General features: G+C 40.6%; 1 protein-coding gene and 1 non-coding gene across 3 annotated transcripts in view; both read left to right on the forward strand.

Annotated features, from left to right (window-relative positions):
• Positions 1-13049, forward strand: part of NHS (NHS actin remodeling regulator) — a 360795-nt gene that overhangs the window by 43100 nt on the left and 304646 nt on the right. The gene's annotated exons all lie outside the window — the stretch shown is intronic.
• On the forward strand, positions 7582-7655 carry MIR4768 (microRNA 4768). Its single transcript, NR_039925.1, has one exon. It is a non-coding gene; the product is annotated as a microRNA 4768 (primary transcript).

Consider the following 13049-nt stretch of genomic DNA (forward strand, 5'->3'; position numbering starts at 1 on the left):
TGAATGTTGGAGACGTTTTACTATTGCTTACTTAAAAATAGGCTAGAAGTCTAGAGATAACCTCTTCATCATCCTGAAATGGACTGGCCCCTCTGGGTAATTTCCTCCTACATTTCTGGGAGAAATTTTACAACTACAGTTTCTTCAGCTGGGCCTACCTGGAGAATGTCCCCAGCGGTCCCAAATCTAATCTGTCAAAACAGGATAGTTTCTTTCTCCTCATTCTTGGCTGCCTTCAATCCAATGCCAAGGAGGCCAGAAATTCCCTCAACTTCTTACAGGTTCGGGCTACTTTGCAGAAAAGATAAATCTCTATTATCTGAGGATTTGTGCATCCTCAAATCTCTATGTGGCGTTAGAGCCTATGACATTTTTTTTTGCAAAGACCTGGTGCAATGGTCCTTCCCAGTGCATTTTCACAAGGCTTCTCTTTGTGATGATGTTTATTCAGCCCATTTAATTTGGAAGTGAAGGAAAGAGGAGAAATGAAAAGAAACTGTGGGCACGAGAGAGTCAAAGAATGAATAAGGAAAACTAAGGGACGGAGGAAAAGAAGAAGGAAAAGAAAGAACAGCTCTAACAGCAAAGAGCAAGTAGAGGAGAATATTGATGTCAGGCTGGAGACTGATAAACGTTAAGTTTCACAGCTAAGGCTCTCAGAGCAGAGACCACTCCTTCCTTCTCTTGTGTATGTATTTGTGGATAGAACCAAAAAGGAATGGGATTATTCTGCTGTAGATATTCTTGTCGCAGTTTTATCTTAGTGTCTTTATAGTTTAACATATATCCTTTCCTTTTATTAAATGCATCGTAAAATCAGCAAGCTTTGCTATAGACTTTCATAAACAGAATTTTCCCTTTTTGGTATGGAGCCTGGAAATCTGAAGGACATGGTACTGCTTACGGGCAGATCATTTGTTTAAACTCTTCAACGGCCTGCCGTCAGCACCAGGAACATTTTTAAATCGGGTTCTGAGCTGTTAATCTTTGGTTTGCACTAAAATTCTCAATTGAAACATTTTTCTTTTTCAAGTGGACCTTCTGAATCTGGACATAAACTTCTACCGTCTAGTGTGTTTCTCAGAATAGGAACATTTAAAGAAAGCTTTTGGGTGACTGCTATTTCTGGATTGAAGTGAGAACAAAAATGTAGACAAAATGCACATGTAGACAACATGAAAAAAATAACTGTTGTCTTTAATGCTGTGGGAAGCCTGGGTGGTATTTGCCCTGAATTGTGTCAATTTATGTAATATTGCTTAAACTTGGTCTGCTGCTTGAAGAACCATATATGTGCCCATGTGTGCATATATATGATAGAAAGAGAGAATATTTCTAGATTTAGTGTATAAAGAATAATGGCCTAGAAGTTCTAGAAAGTGCGAATCCATTAGTCATGGCCGTGAATCGCCCACCTCAAGGATCTGTTGCCAACCAACTGTAAGGTATGTACCATGAAAAGCTAAAATTGTTTCCTGATATCACTTTAAAAGGTAAGGTATATGATAGCTTCTTTTCTAGAAAGTCATAATTTTGAATTATCAAAGTGCCTTGCTTATAAATACTTTTGGAATAAGTAATTCTGTCTTTCCTAATATTTCTAGATATTGGGAGCAAATTCGTGTTTACCTTATGTGTATCCCTCATGGATTTTTCCATTTCCATTGTATTAACTGTGACTTTCTTCAGCAAATCTGGTGGTTGTAGATTTATTTTAATTCTCCGTGCCATAGTATTCTACCTCAGCATGCAATCTGCTGATTCCTTCCCCTTTCTAAAATGAGCTTGCATTTTAATTTTTAAAATTAGTATTAACCAGGTAATAAATATTAACTGAGTACCGACTATGAACCTGACTCTGAGAAATGTCATAATGAGATATTTAATGACAACAGTTTGAGAAGCTAAAAAATAATTTGCCAAAGCATATAATTTATTTGCTAGTGCTTTGTTCATTCATCCATTCACCCATTAACCTGACTTCCATCTTCTTATTCCCTATCTGCTCATCCGTCCACCCCTGCACCCATGCACTTATCCAAGAATCCATTCATTAATTTATTCACTCATCCATTTATTCACACACTCATCCACCCATCCACCCATCTATGAATCCACCCGTCAATTCATTCTTCCATCCACTCACTTACTGAACTATCCATGTACCCATCCACCCATCTATTCATCCACTCATCCATTCTTGCACCCATCTACCCATCTACTCATTCACCCATCCACCAGTCCACCCATCCATTCAGCCACCCATCCACACTTCCACCCATTCACTTGTCCATTCATCCATCCATCTGTCGTTCACCAGACAGATGCTGAAGGCCTTTGATGGTCTTGCACTTATCTTGGCATTTTAAATATAAAGTTGGCAAAGTAGTTCCTGTCTTCTTAAAGCTCAAAATCCAAGCAAGGAGACAGACCACATAAAAAATATTTGTAAATATTTTGAACTTCTTTATAGAAAAGCAGTCTTCAACCTCACAGTGGCCTAATCTCAGTAAATGTGTATTGGCATTCTTTAATAGTTATCATTAAAAAAATACTAAGTTCTCCTTTGGCAACTGTATATTGTTTTCCTGCATTCTTCTGACTTCTTACTTAGAGTTATAATATTTTTATAATGATCTGTAATGGTATGCTTTTAAAATGGAAATAAGAAATATAGAGACAGGTGTTACATGAAGGGGGCTACTAAAATGTAGGAATTCATTTGGGGGACAGATGAGAATTTACTGGTTTTAAAAGTACTTGCCATCTTTTTTTTTTCAGTAGCAGGAAACTAATGATTTCTTTTTATTCTTGGGAGGGAGAGGGCAGGGGTGGTTTCTTAATTATGAAGTGCAATTGTTTAGATTTTTAAGTAGTGTTATTCCTGTTATGAGCTGCCCAGGCAGCCACATCAAAAGCAGCTCTACGTGTGTGTGTGTGTGTGTGCGCGCACACACACACACACACGCCAGCCTGGATTGTGGAGACAGACCTGGTCTCTCAGACCTGGATTTAATTTCATTGCTTGAAGGAGAAATAAGTTGGTGTGTTCTTTCTGGCGGAGAGTCATTTTTTCCTGCCTTGTTTTCTAGCTTTCAAGTCTGTATTTGCATTTTAATTAAGAAAGAAGACAACTGTTGGAAATGAAATTTGGATGAAAGCTGTGAATATTTATCATTTGAACAAGTGGTGTTAACATAAGTCTACCTGTTGAAAACAATGGTTTTAAACTTTTATACTGTGGCTGATTTTTTCTTTTTTGTACTTTTTGTTTATTTTATTTTATTTTATTTTTGAGACAGAGTCTTGCTCTGTCGCCCATGCTGGAGTGCAGTGGTGTGATCTTGGCTTACTGCAACCTCTGCCTCCCAGGTTCAAGCAATTCTCCTGCCTCAGCCTCCCAAGTAGCTGGGATTACAGCTGTGCGCCACCACACCTGGCTAATTTTTGTATTTTTAGTAGAGACAGGGTTTCACCATGTTGGCCAGGCTGGTCTTGAACTCCTGACCTCAGGTGATCCGCCCACCTCAGCTTCCCAAAGTGCTAGGATTACAGGCGTGAGCCACCGCGCCCGGCCTCTACTTTTTATTTTTAATTAATGTTTTCCTTTTCAAAAAATGAGATATAACTGACATACAGTAATGTGAATAAATCTTAAGTGTATGGCTTGACAAATTTTGATGTGTGTACACATCTATGGGACCACAAATCAGATACAGATATAGAACATTTCCAGTGATCCAAAAAGTTCCTTCATGCACCTTTTTCAGTCAATACTCATACCTCGCCTTTCACAACAGTAACTACTATTCAGACCTCTGTTATCATAGATTTATTTTGTTTGTTTTTGAACTTCATATAAATGGAATCGTACAATAATAATATGTATCTTTTGTGTTGGGTTCTTTTGATCAATATTATGCCTATGAGACTTCTAAAGTAAATAAACCTTATGCTTTTATTCACAGACTGGGGTAACAAAACTATCAGGATTCTACTTAGGTTCTAAAAAAGTGGAATTGCTAACTGAGTTGTTGTTAGTTGGGTTTGTCTGACTTTGTTTTGGCAACAGGAGTTGGTCCCAGTGATAGGGCAGCTAATGATTCAATCCATCAATCTATAGGTTTTTATCGAAAACCCTCTATATGCTTAGCATGTGTCTCTTCTCGATGGTTCTTTTCAAATCCAGGGTTTCCCACCCTCAGCACTACTGACATTTGGGGCTGGATCATTCTTTGCTGTGGAGCTGTCTGTGCACTGTAGGATGTTTAGCCACACCCCTGTTCTCCACTCACTGGGTACCAGTGGTATCTACTCCTCTTTTGTCCAGTTATGACACCAAAAATGTTTTCAGATATTGCCAATATCCCTGGTGAGGCAAAATTACCCTCAGTTGAGAGTCACTGTCATAAACCTACTGCCACTGCTTTCTACATTTTATTTCACAAACTTTTTTGGGTACTTTCTGATAAGAAGAACCTATGAGACACTTTGGACGAGTAGGGAAGGTGGGCTCCAAGTTCTTTATTTGTTATGTACTTGGTTGAGTGAAGCACACAGTTTTCATTTCTAGGGGTGGGTAATATTATGAAAAAAAGGTAGAAATTGGTAAGATTTGATGATAGCTACTGACAGGGTAACTGGGTCAAACTTCAAAGTGGCAATTCTGAAAATGCACTAGCAGTCTGAATCTCCAAGTGATTTTTAGACGTTTTGAAAAATCCAAGAAATTCTAAGACCACCACAGTTTGGAACCATGCCTTGAGTAATAGGCCTGGGATAGACATGAAATTCCTACACTGCATTTAATTAGGAGGTTTTGATCAGGGTTCCAACTGGCATTTGCAGCTGATGTTTGATTAAGAGAAAGTCCTGTCTCAAAATATGAGAAAACTTGAATAATAAAAGCACTGTGCCAATGGCTTTTCATGTATTTGTTTAGAACCTGCCTTGGTTCCAGGAAGGATTTAATGTGGATTTCTATCATTGCATGTGCTGTCTTCATCAATGGTTTAAAATATCAACCAGGGTGAAGATATAAGAGAGGAATATCGAATCATTGCTTAGAAGAAGACTTGAGCAGGCATCTCCTCCTCCTCCATCTAAGCTTCAAAAGAGGCCTCCCCTAACCAGACAGTCCAGTGAGATAATGAATTAATTAGAGACTTGGAAGGGTTAGCATGAGAGCCTTGTCTGTCTTGCCTCTGGCCCTCTGTCTGCTCGGCTAGATCCTGGTTAGGAGCTTTTGGCAGTCCTCAGGTTGGGGATGAGATACCTTGGCAGGCTTGAGTGGGCATCAAAGACACCAGGAAGGATCCCAGCCCAGTTTCTGGCAATTCTATCTGTCACTGGGTTTTATGCCTGTGTTCAAAATATTCCATTTCTCCATCTGTAAAATGGAGATAATCCTTCCTCACCTTGCAGGGATGTTGGGAGGATTAATTAGCTAGTGTTCCTCAAGTGCTTTGAAGATGAAAAGGCTTGTGGAAGTGCTAAGTATTAAGGCAAGGCAGCGAATGCCTGCTGGAAGTGCTCTTCCTTTCCTCATCCTCTTGTCAGCAGTTGTGTTTCTCTTGCCTTTTCTGCATATTTCACAGACCAAAGTGCTGGCATGGTAGGTAGGACAATGCATGGATCAGCACAGAACAAAGACAGTAATGCCTTATTTTATGCCTTGCTACTAACTTGGCTTATCAGTTGGCATGACCTCTGAAGATCTTTTTGCTCTGAATGTTTTAATCATCAAGTTCTGGTGGTTATCCAAGGTGATCCTAATCTACTTTGGGGTGGAGGGAGGAAGTGGTGTCAGGAGAGATCAAACCAGGCCACCTTGAGCTGAAAGCTCTGAAGGAGAAGGATTCCTTGAAATGGAGGTAATTTTTGAATTATAATAAGTGAGAAGACTGCAAGGGAGACAAGCTGAGGGACAAATGCTCTGTGCTTTTCTCCTCACTTTCACAAACAGGAGGAGAACTTCCACTGACCTAGCAGTAGTTTGCTCCTCCAGGCTGTCATGTCTTCTGATCATGTCTTTTATGAGGTGAATTTCTCCTCATGAAAGACTAGACTTTAAGGAGAGATTCTGTGCAGGTCCCTACAGTGTGGAGATGGATTGATTGGGCCTACAGATTGCAGCTAATCAATTCATCCTTTGCTTCCCAAAGGTTTATGCATTTGGGTGGAGTTCACAATGAGTGGTCTGGGTGCAGGGCCGTGTGGAGAAGCATGTCCACCGCTCTTGCCCCGGTGGCTTCTTTAGATAATCTTGCAATCTTCACAGGTTCTTTTCTAGGTATGTTATTGTTTGGAATAACTCCCTTGAGTTTGGAAGAAGAAAAGGAATAGTACCAGGTTTACTCAATCATTTGTTAGTTTGCTTGTTATCTTAAAAAATTCTATAAAATTCTTTTGAGAAGTTTCTCTGCTCATTGATCTTGAAAATCTCCTTGCTTTAGAGAATGGATGTGCTCCTCATATGCTAAGGATAAACCAGATTTTGGTAAATCAGGTTATCTTAGGGGTCCCAGGTGAGTTTGCCATTTTAACGATGCTTAGAGTGAATCCTTGTATAAGGGAAAGTATCTTGTATATTCTGTATCCTTTAGGAACTCACGTCTGTTGACTTTATCAGATGTTGGGGTGGTGGTGAGGCTAAAGACCAATAGGCGACATATGGCAGGATCTTCCCTCCAAGTGACCCTCTGGAAAGGGCTATACTTACTTAATTTTGGTGGAGCTCATCATAGGGTCAGGAAACCAGGGAGAAAGCTGAGCAACTGGTATTTATAGATCTTTCTCTTTAAATCAGGTTTGCTCATGATTTGTCTGGTCTTTATTCTTCTCCATGTCTGAAACTGAGTTCCTTGGATTCCCTTCTCTTCAAAGCCCTCTTGGCAACCTTCTGAGGAATGGCAGAGTTCATTCTGATCCACGTCCGGTGAGCGTAGCTCAACCGTGATGGAGCTTGACCTGTCAAATTCACAGAAAAATGTCCGTTACATATTCCAGCTGTTCCTTAAACATGCTCCCTAAGAGCTAGTTCCATTTGTTAGCTGTCAGAACGATGTGGAGGAATTGCTCCAGACCCTTGGATGTCATCAACCACTTTTGTTTATACACCAGTTATTTTCTCTATTAGCAAATCAATGTTTGGCAAAAAGAAAGCACAGGCTAAGAACTTTTCCTGATGAGTTGCTGCCCCAGCCTTGGAACTCTTCTCAGCCAAAAAAAAAAAAAAAAAAAAAAAAAAAAAAAAAAAAAAAAAAAAAAAAAGAAAGAAAGAAAGAAAGAAAGAAATTGAGGAGGAATTCAGTTTTACATGTTTTCCTTCCTGCTTACATGAACAGAGGAGGCCTACCTGAAGCTGAATCCAAGCACTGCCTTTGACGTTGGTAAAGATGGGGCTCTGAGCTCACATATCACCTTGGAAACTGGATCCTGTTACTGCTGGGAAAGGAATGCTTGGTTGCCAAAAGCATTAAGATAGGGAATGTGGATTCCACCTCTCAGTGCTCCTGCCTTGGATCAATTAGGTAGGATACTACCCAGAGATACAGACATGATGGACCAAGTAACTTCTCCAAACTTTGATTCTCTCTGGATCCCATGGATATGGGAACTGTGATGTCCAGGAGATCCAGAGAGAATCAGAGTTTCAGTGAGTGAAACCTAGAGTGTGTGCTGCTAGGATTTTCCTCATAAACCTGGGTGTTTTATTCTTGTGGGCCAGAAAGTTATTTCATTCCTAAACCCGTGATGTAGACTTCTCAGAAATTCCAGTGGTGTGGAGGATCCAGCTTCTATCAGCTCACAAGAGCTGATTGCACATATCTCTCCCCAACTGCTGTTCAGTGGCATCAAGTTGGTAGCTTGAAATCTGCCATGATGAGAGTATTTACACTATAGAAATTGGCAAATATGGCAAATAAGGGTCCCCACCACCCATGCTTGTGAAACATCTTCCAGCACACCAAGGAAATTATCCTAACACGTAACATCACTTATGGGGGCTGTTTAGCTTCAGGGGAGGAAATCCCCTTTGCTCTGATCTCATTGTGTGTACCTGCTTTGCATAGGCAGACTACCCCTTGTTCTCTCATCTATTAAACTCGACCTGAGAGAGAGCTTCATGAGATGGGTTGTGTGACAGGAGATCACTAGGGTAATGAGTCTGTTCCTTTCGCTGCTCAGCTATATGACAGGTTATTTTACCTCTCTAGGCCTCAGCTTCCTCTTCACTATAATAAAAGTAATTTAGATCATTAAATAATTGCTAAGTTTCCTTGTAGCTTCGACATTCTGCAATTTGATGAGTGCTTGGCTGCTGGAAAATGTCATGTGTTTCAAAGGCTTGGGGCACATGCACATCATTCACAGTGACCAGCTGAGCTCTCTCATTTTCTTTCTGGATCTTGGACTCCCAGTAATTCTACTTTTATCTGGACTTCTATCTTCAGCATGAATGAGCAGGGTGCCTCTAAGTGAGAAGCATAATTGATTAGTTCCTTCCATCTGGGGGTGTCAAAGCACTTTCAAGTCAGTAGTCAGTATCCATCATGGTTGCTCTGCAGGGAAGACTGCCTGAGAGTGCCTGTTTTGCAAGGGACATATCACAGTGGTGGACCAAGGACCCAGAATTATTGACTTGTCTTTTAATCAGAAAAGGGGCTACTTCCTGGTCTTAAAGAAGTTCCAGCTTTGAGATTAATCTGCTGTCTATAACCCCAGATCACTTGGCATGCTCGGCCTGGCTGACCTGCTGACAGAACTTGATATATTTCCCATCTCTCTGACATGGAGATAAACCTGAATAGGATTTTGCTAGTTCAGAGGATTTGGGGATACATGTTTAGGTAAAGTTTTCCTATAAAATTCCTTAAAAGAGGTGTGGTGTGGGTTTTTGTTGGGAATTGAGGCTACACTTAATGGAATGTGGAAGAGACCAAATCCACCTTTATGGGGTGCCTGGATGGAAAAGGTGTACTGATAGGAAGTTGGGACTGACCACAGACTTGGGCTGCTTTGTGATTTTGCTTACAGTCTTGCCAAGACCTAGCATCTGCCAAAATACGTGTCTCTGGGCCCTCTCTACCGAAATGTACACATTGACATGCACCAACTCATGCCGCTGTTGTTATGATTGTGTTTATGAAGCCATTTACTCTTGAATCAAGAACCTGAGTGACTTGCTGAGTGTTTGTAGGTTTATTGTCCACTCTGCCAGCTGACTGGGCTGTGTGTGTTCAATGGCTGAAGCCATGATTCCCACAGCTGAAGGTTTGGTCCATTGAGTCTGCCACCATAAAGCACAAGCTATGTGAAGGGCTGGAAAAGAAATAAATTCTTCTGGGATTAACTCCAAAGCAGAAGTACAGTTCTGTCTTGCACAGATAATAGAGGCTGGGTTCAAACTTCTTGGGGTCAGACTGCCAGCTGTGACCCACATTGGAGGTCTACCATCTTTTCTTGTTGGAATACTTCCTAAGAATATATTTTTTAAAAAATCAAGCACCCCTTGTGTATTTTACATTTGATATCTGAATTTTCTAATCGTAAGTTGAATTCATCACAAAAGTATATTTTCCAGCACATTGTGTATTCTCACAGCTCAAAGTCTGATGCACGGGTCAGCAACATCAGCATCCCCTGGCAGCTTGTTAGAAATGCAGAATCTTGGGTCTCTCTCCAGCCCCACTAAATCAGAATAAGCATTTTAATAAGATTCCCAGGTGATTCACATGCACATTTAAGTCTGAGGAGCACTGGTGTATATCATATACATGCTTTAAGTATATCTTCATTAAAACCTTTCAATTTATGAAAAAATTATTAGATCAGGGTACGTGACCTAACTGCAAAGTCATTTCTTATTGTCAAACCATCAGCCAAGCCAGATTAACTTTTAGTCAGTATAAAGAAAGGGGTTTCTTCATTGATTCAGGTGAATGTGTTAACATGTGTACTTGGCCAATCTTCATCCTTCTGAGTTCTGGTTTTAGGATAAGTAGGCAGCTGGCTGGCCAGATAGATATATAAGGCACAAAGCTGTGCTATGAATTTGTTGCCTGAATAAAATATGGCACTGTGGCCTTCAAATTTTTTTGAAATGTTCTTTCTTTGCCCTGGGAATTTTCCTTCTAAAGTGATGCTGACTCAAATGATACCTCGGTTTGGGGCTGGGGAGATTTTTACTCCTTAGGAAAATGCATCCTCATAAGATTGAGAATAGGTGGGCAATTTCCCTTTCTTTATTAAAGGAGGAGGAAGGCAGCTGTGAAAAAGGGAATATGGAGAAGCAGAGCTGCCACAGAGATGGCAGGTCAGCTTTGGGAGGCATGCATATGGAAGCAGAAAATATGGAAACTGAATCTCTTAAAGCTATCCATATACCTACATACTGCCAGAAAGTCTCTGGGGACCCCAGTGGTAGGTGAGCCCAAGTTTAAGAAAGTTGAGTTGGAGAATCAATTAATGCCCTTTTGGAACTTCCTGGTTTCCAGCCTTTTTATCTCCTTGAATGCACATGTCTCTCTCTCTCTCTCTTTCTCTCTCTGTGTGTGTGTGTTTATAAATAAGAGTCATTAAGCCCCAATTCACCACAACCAAAGCTTTTGCCTGTTCCCTCATCTCCTCTTGAATTCCAACTGCAATTAAATTTATCAAATATTTATTTAATCCAACTGCGCATCAGGCACTACACCAGGCATTGGTGATGTTGAGATGACCAATGGAGACAACAATAGTCATTGTTGATAACGAAGACGCACACACTTGTGGAATTCTATAGAGATTTTCAGAAGAAGGGATGGCAAGCAACTTCCAATGTTATCCTTGGAAATCAACTCCTTATTAGGGGGGAAGTTCCTAAAGAAAGGATAATGAAGTCTGCTAAAGAAAAGATGCATCTGCCTGTGTGTACTGGGGGATGTGTGTGTGTGTGTGTGTGTGTGTGTGTGTGTGCACACGTGCGCGCGCGCTATACAGATCAAACCATTGCAGACCTGCAATGTTTTCCAAGTGCTTTAATGTTTAATTCTCTTTGATTTGATCCACGGCGTCATCAAGTATTCCTGCGGGCAATTCCAAGGTGTCTGAGGACCCTTGCTGGGTATCAAAATCCAGTAAGACCTTTGGAGAAATTGAAGAAGGGGAACTTTATTGGTTTTTAGGCCAGTCTTATAATTTAATTCTGTTTTTTGTCTGAAACACACATGCACGGAATCTTTTATCGTCTGTTAGGCATGTGTCCTACCAATCACAAGACTTAAGATGAGAAAAATAAGCAAATGTTTGATGGAGAGAAAACAGCCGTTGGAATCCTGTGGCTGTTCCCACACTGGGGGGATCAGGCAAACCCAGGATCCATGCATTAGAAAAGAATGGTGCAGAGAGAGCTATTGTCCCCTTTGAGCTGTGGCCCATAGTAAATTGTTGACTCTGATCCTAGGGTCAGGTTATTGCTGAGTTGCTGTTAGCATTAATAATTATATAATGGCCTTCCCATTTTTCTACCCCATGTGGATCATTTTGGGTGTTTGTGGTGAGAATGTTCTCTAGGTGGCATCACGGAACTTCTCACCAGTGCTGTTTGGGGGACCCTTGGGCCCAGTCTCCTCCTTCCATGCCTGACATTGCAGCTTGACCTACAGCACTTGCTGCCTTTTCCCCCTCACTGTAACCACTTTGGTTAACTTGGCTGAAGGCTGCAAGCCTCATGAAAGAGGTTCATGGCTATGAACACCCAAAATGATCTCAGATTCAGATTATGCACATATTTTTCCTTCCTTCCTTCCTTCCTTCCTTCCTTCCTTCCTTCCTTTCCTCCATCCCTCCCTCCCTCCCTGCCTTCCTTCCTTCTTTCTCCTTCCTTCCCTTCTTCCTTCCCTTCTTTCCCTCCCCTCCCTCCCTTCCTTCCTTGCTTCCTTCCTTCCTTCCCTCCCTCCCTCCCTCCCCTCTTTCTTTTTCTTTCTTTCTTTCTTTCTTTCTTTCTTTCTTTCTTTCTTTCTTTCTTTCTTTCCTTTCTTTCTTTCTTTTTCTTCTCTTTCTTTCTTTCTTTTTCTTCTTTCTTTCTTTCCTTCTTTCTTTCTTTTTTCTTTCTTTCTCCTTTCTTTCTCCTTCCTTCCTTCCTTCCTTTCTTTCTCTCTCTCTCTTTCTTTCCTTATTTATTGGGTGCTAAACATTTATAGCGTAAAATGTTTATTTTAAAAAACATTTAAAAATAACAGCTTTATTAAGATATAGTTCACCCATTTAAAGCGTACAGTTTAGTGGTTTTTAGTGTATTCACACAGTTGTGTAGCCATTACTACATCCATTTGTAGTCACTCCCCATTTACTCCTCCCCGCAGCCTCTGACAACCACCGATGTACTTTTTGTTTTCAAAGATTTGCCTATTCTGGACATTTCATATAAATGCAGTCACACAATATGTGATCCTTGGTGTCTGACTTCTTTCCCTTAGCATGATGTTTTCAAGGTTCATTTATGTTGTAGCATGTATCAGTATTTCATTCCTTTTTATGGATTAAATACATTCCATTCTATGGATATACTACATTTTATTTGTCCATTTATTCATTGATGGACATTTGAGCTGTTCCCACCTTTTTGCTATTATGAATAGTGATGCTATGAATATTTGTGTGCAAGTCTTTGTGTGGACATATGTTCTCATTTCTTCTCTTATATACCTAAGGAGTGGAATTTCTGGGTCATATGATAACTCCATGTTTAACCCTTGGAGGAATAGATTATGCATTTTTGACTTGTTATTGTCCCATGAGGTCTGAAGTTAGGAAAGGTAGGGAGAATAACTTCTTATGGGGTAGACATCAATGGATCTCAGCAGTGCCCAGGCTGGCAGTGCCATTTTTATGAGTGTAACAAGTTTATCTTCTTCAGCCCTTTGAGGCCTCATTTTCCAGAGACTACTGGCCCTCCTGGGTCTGTGACCCTGGCCAGAACTAGGATTTTTTATTTTTAACCTCTCATAAGGGATTCCTACGAAATATGACCCACTAGAGTGCTTGGTGGACTGTCAACTCTGTAT

The sequence above is a fragment of the Homo sapiens genome, chromosome X (assembly GCF_000001405.40).
Source record: "Homo sapiens chromosome X, GRCh38.p14 Primary Assembly".
Lineage (NCBI taxonomy): Eukaryota > Metazoa > Chordata > Mammalia > Primates > Hominidae > Homo > Homo sapiens.